Here is a 27,624-nt window from a genome sequence, read left to right on the forward strand (position 1 = left end):
AGCAGTGCAGACAGACTTTATTAGTGATATCAATACAGCAGAGGTGCCCATGGAGCAGGGGGAAGGGACCCATGCCTGGACCAGTCCCTTCCTCCTTCTGCCCCTGCTGGGTCCAGGAGGATGAGGCCTGGCCTGGACCAGTTCCTCCTGTTCCACCTGAAACACATGGGGATGGAGAACCAGGGCTGGCCTTGCTTCCTGCTCCTCTTGTTACCACTCCAGTGTTATCACTTCCTTGAAGGGATTAGATCTCTCCCTCCCCAGCTCCTAGGCAGGGAACCGTAGCTACTGGGGAGGGGCATATTTGGGAGGCCTGAGGCCTAGGAATAGCCTCTAGACCCCTCCCTGACCCACACCCTTTAGTTCCCTGGGGCCCAACACAAGCAGGTGGAGGGAAGGTGGGGGCTTCTTCATGGGGTATGGGCCCCCAGCCGTTTGGGCTTCAGGGAGCCCCACAGCGACTGAACACCCCTGCGGACAGTCCACCCTACACGCCGTGCCACAGACTCAGCAGGGGGTGCTGGGAGGCAGGAGGTGGAGGCCTGGGAACGGGCATCCAGACACTTCTGGTAGCGAAGCTGCGGAGGCAAGCAGGGCAGTCACTCCCCAGCCTACCTCCCATGGGGCCACGCCACCACCACACCACCCTACTAGTAGCTTACCATGCACGCAGCCTGCACAGCCTCTGAGAGGCTGGCAGCATTGGGCTCGCACCAGAACATGTGGCAGCAGAAGGAGGCTGGGCCGGCAGCCATGATGAATGCAAACGTGTGGACATCTCTGCCCACGGCCAGGAAGGAGAGGAAACGCACCCGACACTCTCCCAGCACTGCCTCTGTCTGCATGGAGGGAACTCAGTTAAAAAGGAACACCAACCCCACACTGTGTTCCACATCCATCTTAGCAGCTCTTCCCCTCACCCCCAGTCTCCCCTCTATGGCAAGGCGCAGCCACGACTTCTACCCCAGCTCTTTACCTGCTGGTGCAAGATGGTGAGGGTAGCAGGGGCCACACTGACATGACTTGGGGTCCATTGTTCACGGCTGCTGGAGGACAGGACTGACTCGAGGGCCCCATTAATCACATCTACCCCTAGAACATATGGACACAAGATACCACTGAGGGTAGACAGAGGATACCCCAGCTCTACCCTGGACCTCTAGTTCCACCCAATCAAACCCAGGGCCTTTGCCCCATCCCCACTTTGCCAGCCTACATTTTGGACAACGCTGTCCAAGTATCCCTTCCCTGGGGCTCTCCTCCCCTGGCTTCAGTAACTGGACATTTTCCTACTTTTTAAAATCTTGGATCCTAGGCTCGTTATTTTCACCGGCTCTGCCTATTCCTCCACACTTCTGAACTGACTGACCTCTCAAAGTTCTGATTTCCCCAAATCATGCTCTCTCAGCGCTCATCACACTCAGACATCACATTGCTTCACACCACAATAACTCCCAAATCAGACCCTACAGGCCAGTCCTCTCCCAAGACCCAATTATTTTTTAAGATATCTATCTGAGGAGTGATTACTCTGTATCACATTGTGCTAAGTCATTACAGTGTATTACCTCATTTGTGCCCACACAACAACATCACAATAGATTACTTTATTTCCATTTTACAAATAAGGAAACGGAAGAGATAGGTAATATGCCTTAGGTCACATCGAGGAATGGGGACCTGAGCTCAGGCAGTCTGATTCCAGAGCCTGGGTTCTTAGCCATGCCTTTCTCCTACCTCTTCTCTATATTACTAGTTTTCAGAACTAGAAGGGCTTTCAAGATCTTAGTTCTACTCAAGAATGTCTATAATGTGCTCAAGAGCCAAGGAACCCAAGGTTCCTGACTTTCAGATCAATCAACTTTCCCTTATAACACATGGCCTCCTCCACCTCAAACTGCTGTTAAACATTTCCCCTCATGGATCCCACTTTTGCTTGCACTCAGCAGAGCACCAAGGCAGGAGCACATGTTGTGGCAAAGGCATCAGTTCTAGTCCCCACACTCATACGCTGGCTGTGTGATCTACTGTCTCTGCACAATGCCAGTGCAAAAGGCACATGCCTCTGTGGTCCACTCCCAGGCCCTCTGCCCCTTTTAGTGGCTCTCAGCTCCCACTAGGAGCAGACCACGTGGACTCTTTTGGGCAGAGGACAAATGTCTTCCTTGCATGTCTTCTCCCATCTTGGCCTTGCTCATCTGACTTCTAGCTGGATCAAGGCCAAACTGCTCCCAAAAGCATACAAGTCTTCCAAAAACTGGCCTCACCAGAGCTGTCAAGCTTCATATTTTACTGCTCCCTGAGCTTCAGATGATTTGTGTAGCATTATTATTAACAACTAATCTTGGCAAATGGCCTGTAAAGCAGATGGGGAATACAAAGCAAGAGAAGAGAATGCCCTTGAGAGACACAGACTGCAACTGAGGGAAAAGCCTCTGTCTTGAGTGCCCTTTCCCTGCTGGACTGAGAAACTTCAGACTGTCATCCTTCAGGGCTCCAACTAGGTGCTGTCTAGGAAGCCATGCCTGCTGCAGGGCAGGGAGAGGACAACTCTGAGACAACTCTTACCATAACGTCTTGTAACTGCTGGAAAACTTTTTTCCACACTGGGCCGTGGCCATCTCAAGAACAGAAATGGAATTTAATTCATCCCTCTGTCCCCAATTCTAACACAGGGCTTATCTGCTGAAGAAATTCCAGATGCATGAGCAAGTCACTCTCAAGGCAACAAGGGCAAATGCACCCGAACTGGTAAAACCAAGTGTCACAGAAGTGGATGGGCCAGGTCAGATTGCAGAGTGCTTCAAAAGCCAGGCAGAGGGGTGTGATGTTTATGACATTTAGGCCAGGGCAATTGGAAATCTCAAAGTTCAGGTGTGTGAAAGGGACATCATAGTCAAACTGCTGAATAGATGGGGCTGTGGGAGATGGAGCCTGGCCTCAGAGTCTTGGGAAGTTTGGCAGGGAAGCAGTGAAAGCAGTGGACCAAGGTATGGAAAAAGGCTGTCAGATTTGATAACTCAGGACTAAAACCTACACTGTGACCTTGACCTCCAGCCCCACATGCAATCCCCCTAATCCTGCTGTGCTTTTCTCTTCTTTTTTTTTTGTATCAGTTGTTGCCTTCTAACATACTCCATGGTTTACTCATTTTATTGTCTGTCTCTCCTTGCTAGAATGTCAGCTAAATAAAAGCAGGGATCTTTGTCAGTTTTGTTGATTAATGCATGCCAAGAAGCTAGAATAGTGCCTGACATGTATCAGGCATTCATTACCACTTGTTAAATAAATGAATAATTAATGAATGAATATTGCAGCTTCTGGATGGGCTAATGTTTAAAAACGAGCATAAGATAAAGCAGGAAGTAAGTTTAGAGACCACTTGTCCAAGCGGAGCAGTCAAGGGTCACAGGCAGTTGATCTGGCATAGGGAGGACCAGAGTCAAGTGGTAGATGGAAAGAAGCACATATGGGAATGGGGGTAACAAATGGAAGAGCCAACAAGGGTTTAGAAGTTGAGGACGAGAAGGAGGAAAGCAAAGGCGTAAGGGTCAGCATGCTTTTCTCACCTCCAGCTCCAAGTCTTTGGCAGTGCCATCGAATCCAAATGAAATACCCACTCCACTCTGCAAATCCAAACCTTCTTTCAAAACCTCAGTTCAATCCCCACCTTTTCTAAGAAGGGTCCCCTCTTTCAATGTAAGATTTTGGACGTGAAAGTCAGCACGGTATAAGGGAAAGTGCAGAGAATTAAAGATGACCGGGGTTTGACTCCCAGGTCTAGCTTTCCTGGCCATGTAATCTGAAGCAAGTCTCATTTATTCATTAATTCATTTTTTATTTCATTCATCAAACATTTGTTGAGTTCTTCCTGTGTGTCTTTTGACATGATACCCTACCACTTCTTTTTCAAGTAGCCTCTTTTCTTCTTCCTGCCTCTCTCCAGTTGTCACTATCCTTGGCAGTTTCATCCTCTACACATCCATTGAATGTTGGAGGGCCTCAAGGCTATGACTAGCTTCATTTCCCTTCTCACTTCAGGATGCCCACTTTCCAGGGCCAAGCTACTCTACATCCATGGCTTTGATTACCTCTACAACCCAATAATGCCAAAACTCCTATCTCCAGCCCAGACCTCTCCTCTCAGCTCCAGATCTGTGAATCTAACTGCCAACCTGACTTTGCCTCTCAGATTCCCCAAAGGCATCTCAAACTCAGCATGTCCAAAAGTGAGCTCACAATCTCTACGCTCAAATTGGCCTCTTCAAGCATCTGCCACCTTGAAAGAAATAATCCACTATCCAGAAGGTCCAACAGCCAGGAACTTAGGAGTCATCCTTGTCCCTCACCCACATCGAACCAATCACTGAGGCCTGTTGACTATACCCGTCTAAACAGCTCTTGAATCCACGCACTCTTCTTCAGCTCCATTGTTGCCCAAGATACTCTCATTACTGGCCAGGACTACAGCAAGAGCCTCCTAACTGAGCTGCTCACATCCACCTCCACCCACTTAACAGTCCCCTCCATGAAATAGCCAAAGTGAGCTTTCAAAATTCAAATCTGATTAAGGCAAGTGCACTCTCGGAGACTTCAATAACTCCTTGCTGCCCTTAGGATGAAGAAAAAATCATTAACATAGCCCCTGAGGTCCCTGACCTGGCAGCCTGACCACTGCCCAGCTGTCGGCCTCATCTTGCATTGGCCTTCTTTCAGTACCTTGGAAATGCCAAAGTGCCTCCCACTGTAGACCCTGATCTTCCCCCATCCCACCCCCACCTCCATTCCACTTGACCGCATTCACTTCTACTTATTTTTTGGATTTCAGTTCAAATGTCACTTTCACAGGGAAGTCTTTTACAACCTCAGACTAGATGAAATTCCTTTGTTATATCTTGCTACTTTCTCTCAACGAATAACTCACACATTTATTTGTGTGATTATTTTATTAATTCCTGGTTTTTTTCTACCATAACCTTCTATAACCTCTAGGAAAATGGGACTGTGGCCACTGTTCTCCCTGTGCCTAGTCCAGGGCCTGCCACATGGTAAGCTTCAAAGGTATTTGTTAAGTGAATAAACAAATAAATAGCAGACACTAGGAAAGCACTGAAATATAAGAGTTAACCAGATCAGGCCAGGCACAGTGGCTCACGCCTGTAATCCCGGCACTCTCAGAGGCCGAGGCAGGTGGATCACTTGAGGTCAGGAGTTCAAGACCAGCCCTGGCCAACACAGTGAAACCCCGTCTCCACTAAACATACAAAAATTAACCAGGCGTGGTGGCGGGAGCCTGTAATCCCAGCTATTCAGGAGGCTAAGGCAGGAGAATTGCTTGAACCCAGGAGGCGGAGGTTGCAGTGAGCTAAGATCACGCCACCGCACTCCAGCCTGGCGGACAGAGCGAGACTTGTCTTTAAAAAAAAAAAAAAAAAAATTCTTTGCAACAATGAAGTATGTGACAATTATGCTCACTGTTTCCTTCTCCAGATGCTCCCAGCCCACAGCTGGTGCTGTAACACTAAACCCAGCTACAGGCTGCTGTCTGGTGTCCTCCAGTCATCTAACATCAGCCTCCCAATCCCACCAAAGCTTTTCCATGGGATGAAGGAGTGGGGTCTCCCTTTGTGCCTGGTTCAGCACCACTCACGTGGCTGATGCTCAGCGAAGGCGTGCTGACTGCTGCTATAGGCAGGACAGGAAATAGAGCTAGGACAGAAGTATGGGGAGGTGGGATGCATTTTAAAGGGTAGGGAGACACCAAGCATGAGGAAGGTCTGGTAGAAGAAGTATTGGAAGGCAGAGGGTAGGGGCAGAGTTTTAGGATCAAGGTAGCAGCCCCTGGGTATAGAAGGACACACATACCAACAGGTTTAGCAACAGGTACATTCCCCAGGTAATAGACTTGGAACTTCTGGACCAACTCATTCTTAGGCGCTGGGAATTCCACTATGGGAAAGAAGAGAAGGTTGATCATGGTGGCAGACCTTGCTCACCCGCAGCCCCACCAGCAGGGCATAAGCTGGACACTTGCCCAGCCGAGGCCCTACTTTCATCTCGTCCCCTGCCTCCCTTTAACCGGAGTCCCTCCACGTATTGGAGTATTCAGTCTTCATGTGTTCATTTTTCTATCAGCGCTGTCCAGGAGCTCATGCCTTTCCTTGGGTCACCCACCTTTGCCAACAAAGCTGAGCTGGACCTGGAGGGGTTTTGACACTGACCTTGGAAAGGGACATCCACAAGTTTAGAGTGGTCCAGGGAGAGTCCATTTACCAAGCAGCGGGCATTACGCCGTTCGGCCATGATCTGAGGAAGGAAGGGAGGCGAGGAGCCAGGGAGAATCTATTAGAGCCTCATTGCCCTGGGGCCCCCCTACAGCACTCAGTGACCCCACCCACACCCTTGTAGAGCAAAGGTGGCAACTAGTCCAGGGAGTGGAGGGGGCCGTGCCTTAGAGCAGATCTCATGCAGGCTGGTGGCGATGTTCTTGGCAGGTGCCTCACAGCGAAACACGTGGCACTTGAGCATCTGGGTCAGCTTATCACGAGCTACGTAGGCAAAGTCCCTGTTGGGGAAGGGGCACCTCAGTGTCTCCCAGTACCATCCAGTGCTGAGCCTGGTCCCCACCCCACCCACGTCCTCCCTGCCCATCACAGCTCCTCCAGGGCTTCTGCCCACAGCTGGTCCCCCATAGGTGCTGCCTTCTTGGGGGGGAGGGGTAGACAGGCAAGCATGCTGAGGTGGAGGGTAATGGTGGAGCATAGCGGGTGGGAAGGGGCAGGGCAGAAGAGGGGAGCTTGGGTGCTTCCAGGCATCTGGTCCAGGTGTAGGAGGGGGAAAATAGGCATAGTACCTCTCTCTGGGTCCAGCAGCACAAGAGAGGCAAATAACAGAGTTAGAGAGGAGGACTCTGATGCTGGATGAACTCCCACCCTCGAATCCCAAGCCCTATTCCCACCTTCCACTGTCCCGCCCGACGCCCCACACGCGGATGCTGATGATGGGTTGGGCGTGCAGCAGTGCCTGGCTCTGTGGCTCCACTAGCTTTAGTGTCTCATCCTCCAGCTGCAGTAGCAGATCCTTTCCCTGCAGGACCAGAAGCAGGCACTCAGTGGGACTCCAGCCAGGATGGTGGCTGATCTCTGACCCCTGCAGCTCAGGGGATGTTAGCCACAGCTCTGGGGCCCCTGCTTTGGTGTCAGACCGCCCGCCCTGCAGGCCTCACTCTAGTGGAGGTCACGTGTCATCTCTCACATTGACTCCACCGTTGTTAGGCGACTATCTCCCAAGGTCCTGGCCTGGGGTCGCTCATCCATCCCACAGGGCTGCCACTTAGGATGGGCCAATATCCCCCTTCCCCAGCCTGCTTGTGGGCAGGTCAGACCTCCCATCTCTCATAATTCCCTTCACACTCTCACAGTACCACCCCCTACCCCCGGCTCAGGTCCTTACTTCCCCCCAGCCCCCAGACATGGGGTCATGCAGGTTGTTTTTGTGGTAAGAGAGCTGACGGATGCAATTGTTGACTGCCACACTGCTGCGTCCAGGGGCCAGCTCCTCCTCGGTCATCTCTACCCAGCCTAGGGAGCGCACGGCGAAACACTGCCAGACACAGAAGAGGGGCAGGAGGTAGAGGATCTGAGTCAAAACTGGAGAGTTCCTGACTACAGAGTGTGGCAGGAGGCAGGGTGTTCTGAACTAAGACGGAGAAGCTCCCCAAACAGGATGTGGTTAGGGAGAGGGGGATGTGGTTAGGGTGAGGGAGATGTCAGATGAGACCCCAGCTAGTACAAAAAAGCACCTGAACTAAGACTACAAGGGCCCCCAACCTGGCTGTTGGGCTGGTTGATTTAAAAACTGAAGTGCCTCCAGCTCAGACACAGGGCTCTGTGCTGAGACTGGAAGAACTCCTAACTCAGGACCTGGGGAACTGCGCTGAGACCCCTCAGAGCACAACATTAGGGGCTGTCTGACAAATAAGAGGGCCCCAGACTCAGAATGGGTGTCAGTCTTGAACAAACCTTGATCCCTGGGTTGGTATTCCGTGGGGGAAGCTTCTCCTCCTCTTGGGGCAACGGCTCTGGGCTGAAGGCAGATGGTAATACTTGGCACAGGGCTCCCATAAATGGAGCTGTCCCAAGGCCCCTTCCAGACAGATCCATCCCACTGCCAGCTCACTGCATCTGGCAGCTCACCTGAGGCTCTGAGCTGGGAAGGTCAACGTCCCCTCCTCAGGTTCCTTCAGTCCCAGCTCCATTGGGGCCTCATCACTGGGTTCATCCTTGGGAAGGGGATTGAGGAATCAGTATCAAAATGATGCCCCTCCTCCAGCTATCCCGTGGTAAAGCAGGTCCCCTTACCCACCTTCCAAAATTCTCCATCCTCAAAGCCTTCTCCATGAGCAAAACCTGTCCAGGTGAGCTAGGAGGAGGGATGGGAGTAGTGAGTGAGTGTCCTATCCTACTCCAGCAGCACACACTCCCTCCACCCCTGGCCCAAAATCAACAGGCCTGTGAGCCTCACCTGGGACTCCTCTTGGGGGCTGCTCCCCTGTGAGGGGGAGGCCCGGCCGGGGGGTTCCCACTGGGTGGTCCCTGTTGGGATGTGCCAGTAATAGGTCCCTGAGGTGTCCTGGACCCTCATCCATCCAGCCGGCAGGTCGGAATCCGTCTCGAAGGCGTTGGGGTTCCAGAAGGAATCTGCCAGGTGGGAGGCTTGGTGAGGGTCAGCCTACCCAAAGAGCAGACAGCTGGTGCCTATGCCCGGTCCCCTCTGAGACCCCATGGTTGAGAAGGGGTGGTGGAAGAGCTATACCACAACACAGTTCCTGCTTCTGCCTAGAGCCTATAGTCTGGAGTCACCACATGTGGGGCCACCAGTAGGGGACATGGCTCAGGTCTCCTCCTGGGCCCTGTTGGTGGCTAATGTGGCCACACTGTGGAAAGGAGGAAGGCAGGGAGGGAAGAAGGAAGGGAGCAATGAATGTTGGGTGACCCCAATTAACCTCCTTTCATACATATCTATTATCTCAGTTAACACGAAGGTGAACACTTTCTAGCTCCTGCACACGTACATGTATACACAGACACACAACACATACAAGCCCTACCACACACCTGTGCAGCCACAAACACCAGGGTATGCAACACAGAAAATGCCAGCACAGATGGCAGGTATCACACACAGGTGCACATGTATGTGCAGGGGCACACACACACAAACTTTAGCCATACACTTATGCAGACACCACAGAGGTGTGTGTGCATGCAGCTAAACATACGAGCCCCTGCCACACAGGTGTGCAGATACCACACCACAATGGCCCCAACACACGTGTGGGTACCACACACACAGGCGGACCCACACTCAGACACACGGCACACGTCAAACCCTGCCAAATGTGTGCAGACACCACAGACGCTCACTTCCTGACCCTTGCTGCACACAGATGCAAGCAAACATGTCATGCACATACACACATACCTCGCATCTGTGTCATACACCCTTGTCTGCCGGCAGAGCCACACCACTCCAACCCTGTAACCCGCTCATGCGTCCTCTAACTCTTCTCTCCCTGTCAGCCCCACCCCACATGAGGCCCAACCTCATGCTGCCCCTCACCTGCGCTGCTGTCCTGCAGGATAATGGCCAGGAAAAAGTCCTGGGAGAACATGGCGCTCATTCCCGGCCCCTCCTGCCTCCACCCTCCCTCCTCACAGCCCCTCCAGCCCAGCCAGCTGGGCTCACAGCCTGGTGCTGGGCTGCAGAGAAAAGCTCATCCCGCCCCCTTCTCACCAGGGCAGAGCGTCTGCCAGGCAAGATCCTCCCCCGCTTGGAGCTTGCTAGGGAGGGGCCAGGACCACCATGCTAGGGAATCTCCTTGGGGGGTGGGGAAGGGAGGAGAAAGGGAGGTTCATGAGACCCCAGCCCCTTCTGCTCACACCTCTTCTTCCTCGCCCTGGCTCCCCTCCCCCAATCCTGAATCTCCATCCCACCCTCCAGTGGTTACCTCAGTGCCTAAGCCAAGCCCAGTCTTAGGGATACCAGGAGACTCAGCCCCTAAGGAATACCCCAGCTGCCTGGGGCCCTGCAGAGCCTATAGCTGTCAGCATAAATAGGGTGTGGTTTCAAGGCCTTCAGGGATCCCGCCCCTGTCCAGGACCTGCACAGCAGTTTGAACCCAAGGGTGGGCTTTGAGGTCCTGAGCCCCAGCAAGCTTGAGGCTGGGCTTGGGGCTTCCCAGCACCACCCCCCACCCCTCACCTGCCAGGGCCCAGCTAGGCTGCAGCGTCTCCTCGGCAACCGCAGCACCAGGACCGGCTGGGAGCGCCCAGACTGCTGACGTGCTTCCCGTTACCAGGGAAACCAGGAATCCTGACTGGTCCAAGAGGCAGTACTAAGGGACAGGCAGTCCCAAGACCCTGCTGCTGGGCAACCAGACACAGCAGGGCTGGGAGTGGGCGTGGTTACGCCAAGGTGGCTGCACACCTGACGAGAGTTATTCAGGCAGGGTGCTTCACCATCCTCAGCTTCCAAATGACGTGGGCCCACAGACACCCAAAGAGGAGGGGCTCTTGCCCATCCACCTTCTAGGCAGCCATCACCGCCTCTCCTCACCCCCACTTCCCCCTAACTCACACTCTATGGAATAAGGTTTTCAATAGGCACCTGAAACTTAGCTGAGGCTCAGGGAATACCTGCTGTTCCCTAGAGACCCTCCATTGCCTCAGGACTCTCCTGCTAAAACCTTCCAGGAACAGCACCCTAGGGCCTCCATGCCCTCCACAGCCACAGCCTGCTTCATGAGGGCTGGCTGGACACTTCTGGAATCTGGGGACCAGTTCACCATCTCCTGACTGAGTCACACACACCAATCCATCTGCCATCCCTGTCAGCCTGTACCTTCCTGCTTCAAAGAGCTTCATCCTTCCGATCTGTCCTGGAAGGGCAGTTTCTCCCCCCTTGGCCATCTGGGAGGCCCTTCTGGAGCTTGGCACATCTCCCTCCAAGCGCAGCCCACCCCGGCCTTTGCTTTCACACACATGCATTTATTCCAGAACGCACACCTTCACTCCTGCATCGATTCATGCGACACTTACATATAAAATACATTAAATGTTCACGTATCATTCCTTCCTTCCTTCATTCGTTCATCCACAAATGCCTTAGTGGTGAAGCCAGGTGTACTCACTTGCTCAGGAATCAGTGATTGACTTAAAGCTTTCCCCTTCTCTCCACCCCACATAACTAACATAGCCCAGGCTACTAGCTTTTTTTTTTTTAACCTGCATCATTGCAAAAACATCATAACTGGTCTTTCTCTTCCTATCTGGTCTCCTCCAATCTCAGCTGCACAGTACAGCCCAAATGATTCTTCTGAGATGCTAAACTAATCAAGTAATTTTCCAACGGAATCCTCTTAATTGTTTTGTCACTGCCCTCAGGATAAAGTCCAAATTCCTCCCCAGGTTTTATGTGCTGTCATGAACCCCTGTCTGCCTCTCAGCCTTACCTCCAGCCACTCCCCTTCTCTCTCTTTGCTTGGGACATGCCCCCTTGTCCTCTCCCAGCCCACCTCCCTTACTCTCGATTTTCACCTGGCTATCACCTACCTCTCCTTCAGACATCAGTATACAGGTCCCTTCTTAAAACTGACCCATTGCCCTCTCCCCCACCACTCTCACAGGCAGGGTCAGGGGCCCCTCCTGTACTTCCCCAGCCCCAGAGAGCTCATCGCACTGATCATAACCACTTGTTTCTTTCTTTGTCTCCTCACCAGGCTGTGAAGGCCAGGAGGTAAGAACATCTTTGCCCCATAGTATACATTTCCAGCATTTACGATAAGGCCTGGAGCAGAGTATGAATTCAATACAGGTAGTAAAGTTTATTCATTCATCATTCATTTAATTCATGAATTCATGCATTTATGCATTCAATCCATAGCTCTATGAATATCCTACAATAGGAAGGAGAATATAATTTTTGCTCAATTCTAGCCTCATTTCTGCAGGAGCACAAACCTTCTCTGCAGCCCTCATGGTCATAGCAACACAGTTGTAAAAGAGTGACTTGGCCCCTTTCCTGGGCTGGCCCCCACCTCTATCCTCAATTCACAATGTCTCCACCAGTGCATGATCCTTGAGAATCCTCTTGCCACTCCAACATCCTTGCTGAGGTCACTGCCCAGCAAACCCGCCCCAGCTCTTCAGCAGTACTATCCCCCTACTCCTAGAAGCTTCATAGGTAGTTCAGAGTTGCAGCCCCCACAGTGACCATCCCAGGGGCAAGTGAGCAACTAGGCCTCTATTTGGTCACTGACTCACACCCCCTAGTCTTGCAAACTTCCAACCTACAACCTGCAGACTGATGCAAGCCTCAGATAGATTGTGTGTGGCCTGCACAGTGCTTTTTAAAAAATAGAATTTGTTGTTAACGTTTAGAAATTGGGCTATTTTACACCAATATCTAGTTTTCAGTTTCCCTTTAACTGGCTGCATTGAGACTATATTTTTCCTCACCCCAATCCCAAAAATAATCAGCTGGAGTGCAGGAGGGGCTGTTCCTTTTAAAAGGAGTTGAGACAATGACCACCAAAGGCCACTAACATCACAAAAAAGAGAGGCAATCAGACTTTGCCTTTAGTAGAAGTATTTTTTTTTTTTTTTTTGAGACGGAGTCTCGCTCTGTCGCCCGGGCCGGACTGCGGACTGCAGTGGCGCAATCTCGGCTCACTGCAAGCTCCGCTTCCCGGGTTCACGCCATTCTCCTGCCTCAGCCTCCCGAGTAGCTGGGACTACAGGCGCCCGCCACCGCGCCCGGCTAATTTTTTGTATTTTTAGTAGAGACGGGGTTTCACCTTGTTAGCCAGTATGGTCTCGATCTCCTGACCTCATGATCCACCCGCCTCGGCCTCCCAAAGTGCTGGGATTACAGGCGTGAGCCACCGCGCCCGGCCTAGTAGAAGTATTTAATACCACCTATGAAATATTCTTGCAAAAGCAAAACACAAAAATGCTCAAATCTGAATCTGATCAAGGCTCTAGAACTAACTACCAATTTACAGGAAATCCAGGGGAAGAGGAGCATGGTAAATATGACCACAGGAGAGAGTCTGAAAAATCCAAACCATAGAAAACTCAGGACAAGCAACATGATTCTCCAGTTAAAAAACAAAAGCAAAACTGCAAACAACAACAACGAAAAAAATAGAAGGGGAACTTGATCAAACATAACTTTAACAGATAGATCAGGCCAGACATGGTTGCTCACACCTGTAAGCCTAGTGCTTTGGGAAGCCAAGGTAGGAGGATTGTTTGAGAACAGGAGTTCAAGACCAGCCTGGGCAACATGGTGAGACACTGTCTCTACATTTTTTTTTTCCTTCTTTTTTTTTTTTTTGAGAAGGAGTCTCGCTCTTATTGCCCAGGCTGGAGTACAATGGCTCTATCTCAGCTCACCACAACCTCTGTCTCCCGGGTTCAAGTGATTCTCCTGCCTCAACCTCCCGAGTAGCTGGGATTACAGGCGTTTGTAACCACGCCCAGCTAATTTTGTATTTTTAGTAGAGACAAGGTTTCACCATGTTGGCCAGGCTGATCTCGAACTCCTGACCTCACGTGATCCACCTGCCTCGGCCTCCCAAAGTGCTGGGATTACAGGCATAAGCCACCATGCCCAGCCAATGTTTGTGTTTTTTGTAGAGACAGGGTTTCACCATGTTAACCAGGCTGTTTCTGAACTCCTGGCCTCAAGCAATCCACCCACCTTAGCCTTTCAAAATGCTGGGATTACAGGCGTGAGCCACTGTGCCCAGGCTCAATCCAGCCTTTTTTTGGCAGGATATTTAATGATATTAAAGAATTATTATTAAATTTTTGTAGGTACAATAATGATATTGTGGTGGGTTTTTTTTTTAAGAGTTTTATCTTTCAGAAATGCAAAAGTAAACTGTTGTTGTTGTTGTTGAGAAAGGGTCTCTCTCTGCCATCCAGGCTGGAATGCAGTGGCTCAATCATGGCTCACTGTAGTCTCGACTTTCTTGGGTTCGGATGATCCTCTCAGGTCAGTCACCTGAGTAGCTGAGACCACAGTGGCTGATGCCTCCACTCCCGGCTAATTTTTTTGTCTTTTTTATAGAGGAGAGGTTTTGCCATGTTGCTCAGACTGGTCTTGAACTCTTGGGCTCAAGCAATCTACCCATTTTAGCCTTCTAAAATGCTGGGATTACAGGTGTGAGCCACTGCACCCAGCTGTAAACATTTATAGATAAAAGTATTTGCTTCAGAATAACCTACGCTGGGCCTAGGAACGGAAGAGAGCATGCAGGTAGCAAGATTAGTTATGTATTGATAATTGGTAAAACTGGCTCGTGGGTAAATCAGGCTCATTATTCTTTTCTCTCTATTTTTGTGTATGTTTGAAAATGTCCAGAATGAGTTTTTCGAAAGGGGATGGTGTGCAGCCCTAGGCTCATCTGAACTGCATGTTCTCCACAAAGATTGCACAGTTTGGGGTATGGGTATTGTGTCCGCCACCTGGTAAGGATAGGGGTCTTTCCTAATCTTTCTTAGACCTCCATCTACAAAACTCCAGGGTTTTGGTTGTAACTATAGCCCATTATCTCCACTCTTTGTTCCTCAGCTTTTCCTGTATTCGCTACACGACATTAGAAAATGTGGAGACTCAGCTTAATTTAAATGGACATATTTAATGATTAAGCCCTGGAGTCCTAGTATCTATTCTCCTCCCCCTACCCAAAGGGTTTTCTTTTCTAACTTTTAGTCAATATCCTACTCCTGACAAAACTGTATCCTTGCAATGGTGCTGGAGCATGTGGATTATAAGCACACAACATTCCCAGTCTTTCCAAACAGACCTCTGTGGGGAGCTGCTGGCTGCTCCCAACAGGCGTGACCTGTTAAAACGGGGCAGACTGGCGACAGAGTGAGACTCTGTCTCAAAAAAAAAAAAAACGGGGCCGACTGTCCCAAGTGCACCTGAGTGCATTGTGCTCTATGCATTGGCGGCAGCATAACACGGGGCCAAGAGCTCAGGCCTGGACTGAGACCTGGTTTAGATTTCAGCTCTATTGTAATCTCAGCCTGTCTGTGGTCTCGAGAAAGCTACTAAACCTCTCTGGATCTCTTTTTTGTTATCTGTAATATGGGAATCATCATAATATTTACCTCACAGCTTTATTGTAAGGATAAAGCCTGAAAATGCTGAGCAGAGGGCCAGTTACCTAGTCAGTGCCCAGTAAACTAGTCCACTTATCAACCATGGTGGCATGCATAATGAATAGATCCATCCATCCGGGCATGCATGATGGTCAGATCTACCAGAATGTCCAAGCACTCTCTGAATGAAAAAGCCTGGACATGGCCTGCTGTGGCCTCAGGGTATGGGCTCTCAGCTCACATCAGGCTGGCACTGGCCTCTGTATGAGAGTCCTAACCTCTGCCCTCACACCCTCCCACATGCCCATGTCAAGCTCCACAAGGTACCTGTGTCCTCTGGGGAGCCATAGGAGGGGCTGCCCTGGGATAAGGTAGCCCAGCTTGAGTCCTCATCACTGGCTGCACTGTTCCGCATGCCAAACAGGAGGCTGGCACTCTTGCTGTGTTCCCGGGGGCCATCTGTAAGGGCTTGGGGCCTGGGAGGGGCCTCCACACTCTCCAGGGGCTCAGGCAGCCCTGGGGGAGAAGATAAGTCCTCCTCCTCCTCTTCATCATCATCATCCTCCTCCTCCTCCTCGGCCTCCCCGGCCGCCTTCTCCTCTCCCTCATCTGGCCCCTGCTCTTGAGTGCTGATGATCAGGCCAGGTCCTCGTAGGCCTCGGTTGGCTGCGTTGTGAGCTGAGAGCTCCAGCTCAGAGTACAGGTGTATCAGGCCTTTGGGGCCCAAGGGTGCCATCTCAGGCTCCTGGCTGGCCTCCTCCGCCAAGGTCAAGGTCACATTGCGATTCTGGTCACGGTGGGCCGTGGCGGCCCGCCGGAGCTGGTTCTGGCCCTCTTTTAGCCACTTGGCATTGGCAGGGCCTGGCTCAGGCCCACCACCCTCCCCCATGGCGCTGCGCAGGTCCTTGGGTCCCACAGCTGTGGCCTGCAGCTTGGCGTTGAGCAGCTGGTTGTGGGCAGCGTGCAGAGGCAGGGGTAGGCTCAGTGCGGGGCCTCCGTGGCTGTTGGCATTAATGGCCGACTGGCTCAGTGATGATGGAACAGACATGGCCTTGGCAGCTCCTGTGGGGTGCGGAGGGGAGATGCTGTTGAGCCTCTGGTCCAGAACAGCAGCATCACTGCTTCTGCCCCAGGGCTATGCCCTGTGCCTCCTCATCTCCCTGCACTAAGCAGGCTAGCACCCATGGCTCTCTATCCTATGAGAATGACTGGGTTCAACTTCTGTCCCAGCACTATCATCCCCATCACAGTCCAGGCCCAGGTCTGAGGCCCACCCCATCCCTATATCCCCTGCCCTGAGCTTTCTGGGATGGCACAGCTGGCGCCTGCCCTCGGTCCCACCAGCAAGGCCTCCACACAATGGCTCTCTGTGCCTCCCCACCCCCCAGCTCATCCACCCGGGGCTTACTGTGCCAGGAACACCACTAGAGTGGGACCGGCTCGTGTGTTTTGGACACTGATCACTGACTGCCCCTCTCCGGCCGCACTTCCATCCCAAGCCCCATCACTGTAAGCTCCTCCGGCTGTGTTCCTATTCCCATAAATCACTCAGCTCAACCAGCCCCCAAGCCCACCCCATACTAGGGACTGTGAGGACAGGAGCAAATAAGCTGCAGAACCAGCCCTACAGGGCATGGCACTGGAAGGCAGGTCACAGAGGGAGGGCGCTCGGCTGCAATTCATGGCTTCTCTGGCCAGATGAAGCTACATCTTGGTGACAATTTCCATGAAGTAGCTCCCCTTGGGCACTGGTCCCTCTGCCAGCCCTCATAATGCCCTGTCCTGGATCACTATGGGAGCCTTTCCCCTGGGCCCCTCAGCCTTTCAGATCTTTGTTTTTTGGGGGTTGTTTGTCTGTTTGTTTGTTTTTGAGACAGAATCTTGCTCTTGTTGCCCAGGCTGGAGTGCAATGGCACAATCTTGGCTCACTGCAACCTCTGCCTCTCGGGTTCAAGTGATTCTCCTGCCTCAGCCTCCTGAGTAGCTGTGATTACAGGTGCCCACCACCACGCCCAGGTAATTTTTGTATTTTTAGTAGAGACGGGGCTTCACCATGTTGGTCAGGCTGATCTCAAACTCCTGACCTCGTGATCCGCCCACTTCGGCCTCCCAAAGTGCTGGGATTACAGGCATGAGCCACTGCGTCCGGCCCAGCCTTTCAGATCTTTGACCAAATGTCACAGCCTCAGTGAAGCCTTCCCTGAACACCCATTTTAAAACCACAGGCTACCTCCGCCCCTCCTCAGCAATCCCTAAACTCTTCCCCAGCGCCTGTCACCATCTGACAAGCCAATTTATTATTTACTTTGTCTAATGATTGTCTCCTCATGACTATAATTTATAATTTCCATGTTGGTGAGGATTTTGCCTTTTTGGTTAAATACAGTATGCCTAGTGCCTAGCGTAGTCCTGGCACAGAGCAGGAACTCCATTAATATTTGCTGAATGAATGTATGAATCAGTCCCCATTTCCTCCAGGCTTCGCTTTGGCATCTCCTCTGCCAGTGTCAGAAAACACTTTGGTTACGTTACTATGCCTTATGGTGCCCCAAACAAACTCCACCTGCCTCTCAGGTAAGAGGACGTCCTGTTCCGCAAGGACAGCTCCCCCTCCAGACCCCTCCCTCTGCCTCCTCACAGCCCTTCGTGGGTCAGTTTCTCCGCAACCATTTGAGTCCCAACTATCCTTCCAGCCCGCCACCCAGGGACCCACCCTCGGCCCCATTCCATCCTCCCCACTCTCCCTGACCTTCCAGTTGCTCTGCTGCTCTCCTTCCCGGACCCCCAAGAGAAAGTGCTCTCTCCCTGGACCCTCACCAGCCCCCGATTTCAGTTATTTCTCCCTGACCAACCACTGCCCACTTCTCTCTCATCCTGAGCCCTCCATGCAAGCCCTCCTTCAGACAGCCCCTACCACATTACTCTCTCCTCCCTCGATGGCCTCACTGATTCTCTTGCCCTACCCGACCCTTCCCCCAACAGACAATTCTCCCTCACTGACCATCCCAACAAACACTGCACTGTGCTCTTTCTCATTCCCACTGTACAGACCTTTCTCCTTGATGTCTTATCTGAGAGTTCCCTATCTCCCTGTTCCTCTACTAAGGAGTTCTTTCTTTCCCTGACTCACCACTACCCCCCTTCCCTCTGTGTTCTCAGCGCTGAGCACAGGTCTTGCAGCTACCTGAGCAGGGCTTGCCCATCTCTCCAGGTGCGGTGCGCCCAGGCTGGAGTGCAATGGCACGATCTCAGCTCACTGCAACCTCCTGCAGCCTCCTGAGTAGCTGGGATTATAGGTGCCCACCACCACGCCCAGCTAATTTTTGTAATTCTTTTTTTTTTTTTCTTTTAAGTAGAGATAGGGTTTCACCATGTTGGCCAGGCTGGTCTCAAACTCCTGACCTCAGGTGATCCACCCGCCTCAGCCTCCCAAAGTGCTGGGATTACAGGCGTGAGCCACCGCGCCCGGCCCCATAGCTCACCTTTCTACGTCTCTAGTTCCTCAGACACTAGTGCTATGCTACCCACACATCTGTAAGATGAAAAAGGTTTCTGCGCACGTGTCTGCCTCACGTGGGGCTGTTGATCTGCTCAGTGTGACTCCTCCTGGCCAATGAGAAAACTCACAGCCACTGGAATAAATGAAGAAAAAAATAGCTCTACCTCCTCCCAGAACCACAGTAATCTTCCAAAAATGGAAACCAGATTGTGTCACTCCCTGGTTCAGAAAATGAGAGGGCTCACCACTGCCTTTCGGATAACGCCTGCACTCGTTCGCAGACACCCAAGAGCCCTCTTAAGCCGGCCTCTATAACCTGTCAGTCCCCTCCCCACCTCCCGCCTCCTTTATACCTTATACTCTAGCCACATGAAGCGTGGCGGATTCTGAAACATGTCGCACACTCTTAAAGCCCTGGGTCTTTGTTTATACTGCTCCCTCGGCCTGGAATTCTGTCTCCCCTTGTGAGAACCTCTGCTTGTATTTCAAAACTAACCTCAGCAGTTACAGCTCCTAAGCAGTCTTTCCTGTTCTCTCCCCACCATCAAGTGACTGTTCTCTCCTTCGTGTCTCACAACACCCAGAACCACATTCTATCAGAATATCTGAGACGGTGTCTTATTCAATTTCACATTCCCATTACCAAAGAGAGTGTGCCGTGTGCCGACACAGACTGGGCTGTTGCAGAAGGAAAGGACGGATGAACGGGACAGACACAGGGGGTGGGAGGATCCAGGAAGCTCAGAACTGGCTGGGAATAAATACCAAGAAAGGCTGTGTGGCCCAATGGGCTGGGGAGGAGCAAAGGGAGTGTTTGGGAGGGTGTCAGAGAATGCCAAAGGGTCCCTGAGTGGGAAGTAAGATGGGACAGGAATCCTGGAGAGGTGAGGGCTGAGATCTAGGAAAAGGGAGCGAGGGAGGTAGCTTAAACCAACATCTTGGCACAGACACTGTTCAAGAGTGGCATCTCCATGGGTGTCAGGAAGCAGAAGACTCCACGACTCTGCCATGCTCAGAGGACCTTAAGGATGGCAAACCCTTCTCTGAAGCAGTAGTGTACAGAGCCAGGTTTCTCAAAGGTCAGGCAGAGACCAACCTCCTAGGCACTAGGAGATATGATCTGAGAAGAGTGCATGCACTGTGAGGCTGAAACAGTGAAGAGCCAAGTTGACCTCAGGGCAGCCCCGCCAATCTGGTCACCAGGGCAGGAAGTATTAGAGGAAGAATGGTGAAACTGTTTAAGTGCTGAAGCCTGAGCATCTAGCCTGAGGTGGTGTGGTCACCAACACCCCACTGCTCGAGGTCAAAAAGATGATCTCAGTCCAATTTTTTAAAGAAGGAACACAACCTAATCTCTCCCCTCTCATTGGAGTTACCAAAGGATGCAAAGAGCCAACTGGGTTCTGGCTCAAGGCAGGGAGTTGGGCAGGGGCCTCGGGGCAGGAAGTGAAAGAAGTAGTCACTAAGCCTGAAGATCCTGGCATCAGACCACAGGGGTTGGGGTTGAGTCTTGCTCAAAGTCAGGAGTTGTCTAATCTGACAGCTTCCCATATGCCAGGCACTGTGCTAGACACAGGGGAGAGTGATGAAGACAAAAGAAATGGTTCTTCCTCTGGAGGAGTTCTCAGTTCAGCGGGAAACAGTCATTGAACAACTTGTTACAATGCAGTGTAACACCAACATCTAGAACAGTGCCTGGCACCCATAGCATTCCCTATTTGTTGACTGAATATCATGAAGGAGGAAGAGGAGGGCATTACAGGAACCTGGGGCTTACTACAGCCAAGACATCAGCAAAGGCCTGCCTGAGACTAGGACATAACTCTCCATTGGCCACCCGTCTCAGAGGCTGATCTCCCCTCCTGATTCACAGAGGAAAGGGAAGCCATCCAACTGGGTAACATCCTCAAACATAAAAACCTAACCAAACTTCAGCACCTATCCCTTTCTCTCCTTCCCAAAACCAACTGCTTCACCTATGATTTGGATTCTTCCTATGATGCCTTTCCAGGAATTTTATACCACTGTTTATCTATTTTCTCCTCTATATGATCAACCTCTCCTTCTCAATAGGATCCACGGTCTCCCAACTTGACCTGACGCTCCTCCAGATCCACTCACTGCTCTCTTTCCTCCCCCATACAGGCAAACTTCCTGAGAGAGTTGTCTCCACTCACTGTTGCCACTTCCTCACCTCCCACTCACTCCTCAACCCTTTCCAAACCTGCTTCCACTCCCAACACGACTCAGTAACAGCTCCTACCAAGGTCAACATGACCCCTGTGTCATTCAATCCAACAGACACAGTGCTCGTCTTGGTTGTCCTCCCAGCAGCATCTGACCCCGTGAATCTCTCATCCAGCCTCTATCCGGGGCCTCCACACTCTCATCTCCACACTCCTCATCTCATCTCATCTTTTACACTTCTTGTTACTGTTTGCTGGGTTCCTAGACTCCTCTGCTGGCTCATCTTCCTCTATTAGCCATTACCTGCTGGAGTTTCTTATGGCTTATTCTCATGCCCCTTCCTCTTTCTCATCCTATAATCAGTATAAGTATTCATTAATGCCCACAGCTTCAGTTATACACTGATGATTTCCCAATTCAAATCTCCATTTCAGACCCCTCACCTGAGCTCCAGACAAGTACATTCAACTTTCTACTCAACATCTCCACTTGGATGTCTCAAGCTAATAGACCCACTCATGTTTCCCACTCCCACACACTAACTGGTCCTCTTTCAGGATCCCGGCTCATGGAATGATAGAATCCATCCTATTCTGTGAATCTGAAGTAGGGGTACATCTTGACATGTCCTTCTCCTGCACTTGCTATGTTCAATCCATCTCTAGGTACTGATGATTTCCTCTCTGAGAAAAATTTCTGGACTTCATCTACTCTCCACATCCACTACCATCAAGGACAAAGACCTTAAGACAAAATTCCCTTTTTTTTTTTTTTGCGATGGAGTCCTGCTGTGTCACCCAGGCTACAGTGCAGTGGCAAGATCTCGGCTTACTGCAACCTCTGCCTCCCGGGTTCAAGCGATTCTTCTGCCTCAGCCTCCTGAGTAGCTGGGATTACAGGCACACACCACCATGCCCGGCTAATTTTTGTGTACTTTTAGTAGAGATGGGGTTTCGCCATGTTGGCCAGGCCGGTCCTGAACTCCTGACCTCAGGTGATCCGCCCGCCTTGGCCTCCTAAAGTGCTGGGATTACAGGCGTGAGCCATCACGCCTGGCCCTTAAGACCAAATTCTTAACATGGCCTAAATTTCCTGCTCAGTCTGGCGCCTGCCTTCCTCCTCCCTGCCCCTGGCTTTGGTCACACTGCTCTGCAGCCTCAGTAGCCTTCTTCTGATTCCTCGAAGACATGTGTTTTCCTTCTACAAGGTGTTTGCATGTGATTTCCATGCTTCCTGGGACCTCTTCTCCTACTCTCTAAGCTGAATTAACTTCTACTCATCCACTATATTTTAGTTCAAACGTCATGTTCTCAGAGAAGCTGTCCTCCAACCCTCTCTCCCTATCCCCGAGACCAGTTTAGCTACTGCTCTTGTGCGTTCTCAAGGCACCATACAGCTTTTCTTCATGGTACATATTACATTTGTAATGTTATTCTTATTTGATTTTTCTCCTAGATTGTCAGCTCCAAGGACTCAGTCTCTTTTGCTCACAATTATATCTTCAGGACATAACACAGTGCCTGGCATATATTAGGTGCTGAAATCATATTTATTGCATGAATAAGTGATTGGAAGCATTTTTCAAAGGATTACTCTGGGTACTGTGTTGAGAACAGTTAAAGGGAGGTAGGCAAGAGGGTATGCTATTAAAGTAGTCAAGGAAAAAAAATGGTGGTGGCCCAGATTAACTTTGGTGGCAGTGAGGAAAGAGCGAAATGAATGGATTTGAGAAATATTTAGGCAGTGGATGTGACAGAACTTGGTGAAATGAGATGCAGAGAGTGAGAGAGGGGTTAATCTCAAGTCTTGCTCATGACTCCAGATTGGCAAAGAGCCATTTTTGAGATTCGAAGGAAGAACAGATTTGGAAGTGGGGTACAGAGAAAACCACAGAAGATAATTTAGCTTGGAATCTATAGGTTTGGAACTCCTGTTTGTCTTTCAAGGAGATGTCAAGAGAGCAGCTGGACATATGAGTCTGGATTTCAGGAAAGAAGTCTGGGCTGGATATATAAATTTGGGAATCATTAGCATATATATGAAATTTGAAGCTTTGGGAGTAGATAAAATATCTGGGGAGAAAGAACAGATACTGAGAGAAGACAGCTCGGGACAGAGCCAAGAGCCTCACCAGCATCTAAAGAGAGGAGGAGAGGAAGCAAATGAGATTGAGAAGAGCAGACAATGCTGTAGGGCAGAAAGCAGGAAAATGCTTCAAGGAGAGTGAGTTGACATACCCCACCGAATACTACTCAAAGGTAAAGGAGATAACAGTGTCCACTGGAGTTCTCCACAAGGAGGTCTCCGGTGACCTTGGCCTAGACAGTTTCAGTGGGTGTCAGGGACACAGAGTGGAGTGCTTTTAAGAATGAATGGGAAGTAAGGAAATGAAGACAGCAAGCGTTGACTCTGAAGGGCGGAGAGAGCTGGGACTATAGCTAGAGGGGCTCAGAATGCAAGAGATACACAGGCCGATACAAAACAGGTTAGGAATTGGCAGTGGGAAAACTGCTTCTAATCAGTGTTCTTGGCAGTGCTAGGCCTCCTGGCTGAGCTGGGGACACAGCCGCCCCAGGGCACACCCCTCGGTCGCTGAGGGCAACAGAATGCGGCTTGACAGATCCAGGGCCTGGGACCCCTGCTGGAATCGGCGCGGCCTGCCAGCCCACCCCACCCCACGTCCCCTTCCCGGACCTGGGCCTCCCCTCCCCCAACACCCACTGCCCCTCGCTTCGCGTCCTCCATACCCGCCCCTAGTCACCCCGAGGGGCAGGAGGTAAAGGGCAGCGGAAGGGACGGTGTGAGGGCCCGAGTGGACCCTGCGATGGTGGGTATGAGAGGACGGTCTGCGGGCGCGCGGTGGAAGGGCGACCCGGGGATGGGGGATGGGGCCGGCCGGGGGACCCGGGCTGCCGCAGGGTAGGGGCTACAGGGTCCGCCGGCCGCTGGTGATCGGGACGCAGCCACCGGGGCTGGGCCGGGGCAGGGACACCTCCTACCTGCGCGGTGAGGCCCCGGGCCCAGATGACGGAGGTGGCTCAGGCTGCGGGGTTCGGGCTCCGCCGCGGCTTCTCCATCACAACATCCCCCGCCCAGGAGCGCGCGGGCCGCGGGGCCGCGCCCCGAGCGGCGGAGGCGCGCGCAAGGGGAGGGGGAGGGGCGCCATCTTGGGGCGGGCGCGGGAGCGAGCTCGGCGGGCGCGGCACTTGCCGCAGCTTCTTGGGGGCCTCACCCTGCGGGCGGCCCTCGGACCTCGGTGAGCCCCGCGGTCCAGCCCTCCCAGCAGACACCCCTGCAGCCGACTCCCTGGGACCCCCGCCTAGCGCGGCGCCGTCCTCCACTACTATTCCACAGACTCACCCTGCGCGCCCCGCAGCGCCCTGGTCCCGCACCCACGCCGGGAGACGCGCGGACGGGGCTGGAGCCCGAATGGCGGCGGCTGTGCGGCGCCGCGGCCGCGCGGGGAAGGATTCCCGGGAGGCACTCTGCGCCGCTCCTGCTGCACCGCTCCCTGACGTCCTGGTGGGGAGGCTCTGAGGACACAGCGTTGCTCATAATAATAGCTCGTATTTATTGACCACTTACACCGTGCCGGGCTCTCTATTAAACCGTTAACGCGCATTAATCTTCACATCAGCTCTGTAAAATCACCAGAATTATTATCCTCATTTTTCAGAGGCTGAGGCTAAGATTAAGAGAGGTAAAGCGACTTGCCCGCAGTCACAGTTAGTGATGAATTTAGACTGGAACTCCGATGTTTCTTGACACTGAAATACCTCTGCTGCTGAGCATAAAGCTGACATCAAGGCCTGGAAAATGTCAAGAATACATTGCTCCCCGGTAGAAATTCACAAGGAAGGGGATATTGTGAATGAAAAGTGTAAAGATGTAAGGAAGATGGTGGGGTGCAATACTTACTACAGACCCTCCCTGGATAGTGGGATACATCCCAATGGTCAGATCAGTGACCCAGAGGCCATCAAGGATAATGAGAGGTTATATTACCATCCAGAAAGCCTCTACATGCTAATCCCTCTCAGGTGCCTAAAACTAAAGATATCCAAATCTGAGTTCGTTCTTTCTTTCAAGGCAGGGTCTCACTCTGTCACCCAGGGGCAAGATCATGGCTCTCTGAAGCCTCAGCCTCCAGGGCTCAGATTCCTCCCGCCTCAGCCCCCGGAGTACCTGGGCCACAGACATGTGCCACCGCGCCTGGCTTTTTGTATTTTAGTAGAGAGGGGGTCTCACTGTGTTCCCCAGGCTGGTCTGGAACTCCTGTGTTCAAGCGATCCTCCCACCTCGGCCTCCCAAAGTGCTGAGATTACAGGCGTCAGACACAGTGTCCAGCCTCAATTTATTGTTTCATCCCCCTTTATTAGTCTTTTAAGGAGTTTCACTGGGGTGAAAAAGAACCCTCTTCAACACACACAACACAACACACATCCCACACTGGACACAACTCCATTCCATCCATTCCAATGAATGACACCAACTACTGGCTTCCCAAGCCAGAAGCTTCAAAGTCATCTTTGAATATACTTTTATTTTACTTGTGGTAAATATAAATGTTTTAACTTTTTATTATGGCAAATTTCCAATATATACTAAAGCAGACAGAACAATATAATGAACCCTCATATACCTATCATTCAGTTTCAACAATTATGAATTCACAACCAATAGTTTATAATGATTTGACAAATGCCTATGATATATGAACCATGTATCAGGTCCCAAGCCAGGCCCTAGGGATCTAAAGACGAATCAGATTTGACTGCATCTCACCTGGAGGAAATGACATCTGACCTGGGTTCTTGAAAGATGAAGAAGAATTACCCAGAAGAACAAAAGTGTCCTCATTCATTCATTCATTCATTTTCTTTCATCAAATAATTACTATGTATGAGGTACTGTCCTTGGTGCTAGCAACAGGTCAAGAAACAAGATACAGTTCCGTCTCTCATACAGCTTGAAATTTAACAGGGGAAAGAGACATTAAATATGTAATTAGGAATGTGATGAGTGTCTTGAAGGAGATGTACCGGGAGCTATGTGAGTGGGCTTAATTTGGCCTGGGAAGTTTAGGAGGCTTTCATAGGAAGTGACAATTCAGTGAGGGAAAGGGATGAAGGAGCTAGAGGTCAGCCAGGAGAAGAGAAAAGTATTCCAAGTAGCAGGAGAAATACAGGAAGGTCAGTATGGGTGTTGATATAGTTTGGATATTTGTCCCTGATCAAATCTCATGTTGAATTGTAATCCCCAATGCTGGAGGTGGGGTCTGGTGGGAGGTGTTCAGGTCGTAGGGGTGGATCTCTCATGGCTTGGTGCTGTCTTCCCCATGATGAGTGAGTTCTTGTGAGATCCGGTTATTTAAAAGTGTGTGGCATGGCCAGGCGTGGTGGCTCAGGCCTGTAATCCCAGCACTTTGGGAGGCCAAGGTGGGCAGATCAACTTGAGACCAGGAGTTCGAGAACAGCCTGGTCCACATGGTGAAATCCCATCTCTATTAAAAACACAAAAAAATTAGCTGGGCATGGTGGCGGGCACCTGTAGTCCCAGCTACTTGGAAGGCTGAGGCAGGAGAATTACTTGAACCCAGGAGGCGGAGGCTGCAGTGAACCGAGATCACGCCACTGCACTCCAGCCTGGGCAGCAGAGTGAAACTCCATCTCAAATAAATAAATAAATAAATAAATAGTGTATGGCACCTCTCCCCCCACACTCTCTTGCTTCTGATCAGCCATGTGGGATGCCTGCTCCCACTTTGCTTTCTGCCATGAGTAAAAGCTTCCTGAGGACCCCCTGGAAGCCAAGCAGATGCTGGTGCTATGTTTCCTGTATAGCCTGCAGAACTGTGAGCCGATTAAACCTCTTTTCTTTTCTTTTTTTTTTTTTTTTTTTGAGACAGAGTCTCGCTCTGTCCCCCAGGCTGGAGTGCAGTGGCGCAATCTCGGCTCACTGCAATCTCCGCCTCCCGGGTTCACACCATTCTCCTGCCTCAGCCTCCCAAGTAGCTGGGACTACAGGCACCCACTGCCATGCCCAGCTAATTTTTTGTGTTTTTAGTAGAGATGGGGTTTCACCGTGTTAGCCAGGATGGTCTCAATCTCCTGACCTCGTGATCCGCCCGCCTTGGCCTCCCAAAGTGCTGGGATAACAGGCATAAGCCACCACACCTGGCCCTAAACCTCTTTTCTTTATAAATTACCCAGTCTCAAGTATTTACTTACAGCAACACAAGAACAGCCTAACAGTTGTGATAGTGGAGAATGGCATAAGATGAAATAGGAAGGTGGGAAAGTGCCAGATCAAGGAGGGCCTTATATGCTGAGCTAAGGGTTTGACCTTTATTTTAAGGGCAATGGAAAATCATGGAAGGGTTTGAAGCAGGAGAGGGGCATGTTCACACTCGCATTTTAGAAGATCGCTTTCAGCTCCTGAGGAAGAATAGATAGGTGGAAAGCAAAATTGGAAGAATATAGACCAGTTAGGAAGCAAGAGACCAGGTTAAAGATGATGATGGCTTGGACTCTGGTGGTGGGACTAGGGATGGAGAAAATTGCATAGGTTTAATAAATATTCAAGAGGTAGAATTCCCAGAAATCAGTGATCAGTTGGTTGATTAGCTATGGAATTGTAGATTTAAAAAATGACATCTAGATTTATTTTTGAGAAAATGAAAAAAAAAATCCAGAAGTATCACCCATTTACAGATAGCCCACCAAAATATTTGTCTTCCCAATCTCATTGAGCAGGAAGGCT

At 51.1% G+C, this 27,624-nt stretch overlaps 1 protein-coding gene across 9 annotated transcripts, besides 3 other annotated features; it reads right to left on the bottom strand.

Moving 5' to 3' along the window:
• Nucleotides 1-24,330, bottom strand: APBB1 (amyloid beta precursor protein binding family B member 1). Of its 9 annotated transcripts, none has more exons than NR_047512.2 (15): nt 23,862-23,988; nt 15,504-16,238; nt 8,524-8,699; nt 8,365-8,421; nt 8,196-8,281; nt 8,022-8,085; nt 7,453-7,602; nt 6,959-7,086; nt 6,854-6,859; nt 6,451-6,565; nt 6,222-6,306; nt 5,866-5,949; nt 977-1,092; nt 663-839; nt 1-156 (listed from the first exon to the last, which is right to left on the bottom strand). NR_047512.2 is itself a non-coding variant. In NM_001257321.2 (15 exons), exons 3-15 carry the CDS (start codon nt 8,641-8,643, stop codon nt 411-413), a joined length of 1,356 nt encoding a protein of 451 aa, NP_001244250.1. In that variant the 5' UTR covers nt 8,644-8,699; nt 9,622-9,661; nt 10,010-10,294; the 3' UTR covers nt 1-410. The 9 variants fall into 9 exon arrangements, 8 of the variants coding, with proteins under 8 accessions (NP_001244250.1, NP_001244249.1, NP_001244255.1 ...); NM_001257321.2 differs by lacking the exons at nt 15,504-16,238; nt 23,862-23,988 and adding exons at nt 9,622-9,661; nt 10,010-10,294 and having other exon boundaries at nt 1-578; NM_001164.5 differs by having other exon boundaries at nt 2-578; nt 23,862-23,971.
• Nucleotides 10,196-10,490: a silencer, noted in NCBI's record as "tiled region #8482; HepG2 Repressive non-DNase unmatched - State 22:ReprW, and K562 Repressive non-DNase unmatched - State 22:ReprW". NCBI's record gives its function as "represses a minimal TATA promoter and a strong SV40 promoter by Sharpr-MPRA in HepG2 and K562 cells {active_cell/tissue: HepG2 | K562}" and the evidence as "EXISTENCE:reporter gene assay evidence [ECO:0000049][PMID:27701403]".
• Nucleotides 23,739-23,928: a silencer, noted in NCBI's record as "silent region_3100". NCBI's record gives its function as "represses an Ori minimal core promoter by ATAC-STARR-seq in GM12878 lymphoblastoid cells {active_cell/tissue: GM12878}" and the evidence as "EXISTENCE:reporter gene assay evidence [ECO:0000049][PMID:35858748]".
• Nucleotides 23,939-24,338: a silencer, noted in NCBI's record as "silent region_3101". NCBI's record gives its function as "represses an Ori minimal core promoter by ATAC-STARR-seq in GM12878 lymphoblastoid cells {active_cell/tissue: GM12878}" and the evidence as "EXISTENCE:reporter gene assay evidence [ECO:0000049][PMID:35858748]".

Source organism: Homo sapiens, chromosome 11 (genome assembly GCF_000001405.40).
Source record: "Homo sapiens chromosome 11, GRCh38.p14 Primary Assembly".
Lineage (NCBI taxonomy): Eukaryota > Metazoa > Chordata > Mammalia > Primates > Hominidae > Homo > Homo sapiens.

Bases quoted from the DNA above. Each gene is read 5' to 3' on its own strand.
- APBB1 (NM_001164.5), bottom strand. From the start codon at position 16,224: ATGTCTGTTCCATCATCACTGAGCCAGTCGGCCATTAATGCCAACAGC. The intron at 7,603-8,021 runs GTTTGTTCAAGA...TGTGTCTGGCAG, and splicing joins ATACCAACCCAGGGATCAAG to TGTTTCGCCGTGCGCTCCCT. The intron at 1,093-5,865 runs GTATGTGTGTCC...CATATGTTCTAG, and splicing joins ACCTGTTGCTAAACCTGTTG to GGGTAGATGTGATTAATGGG.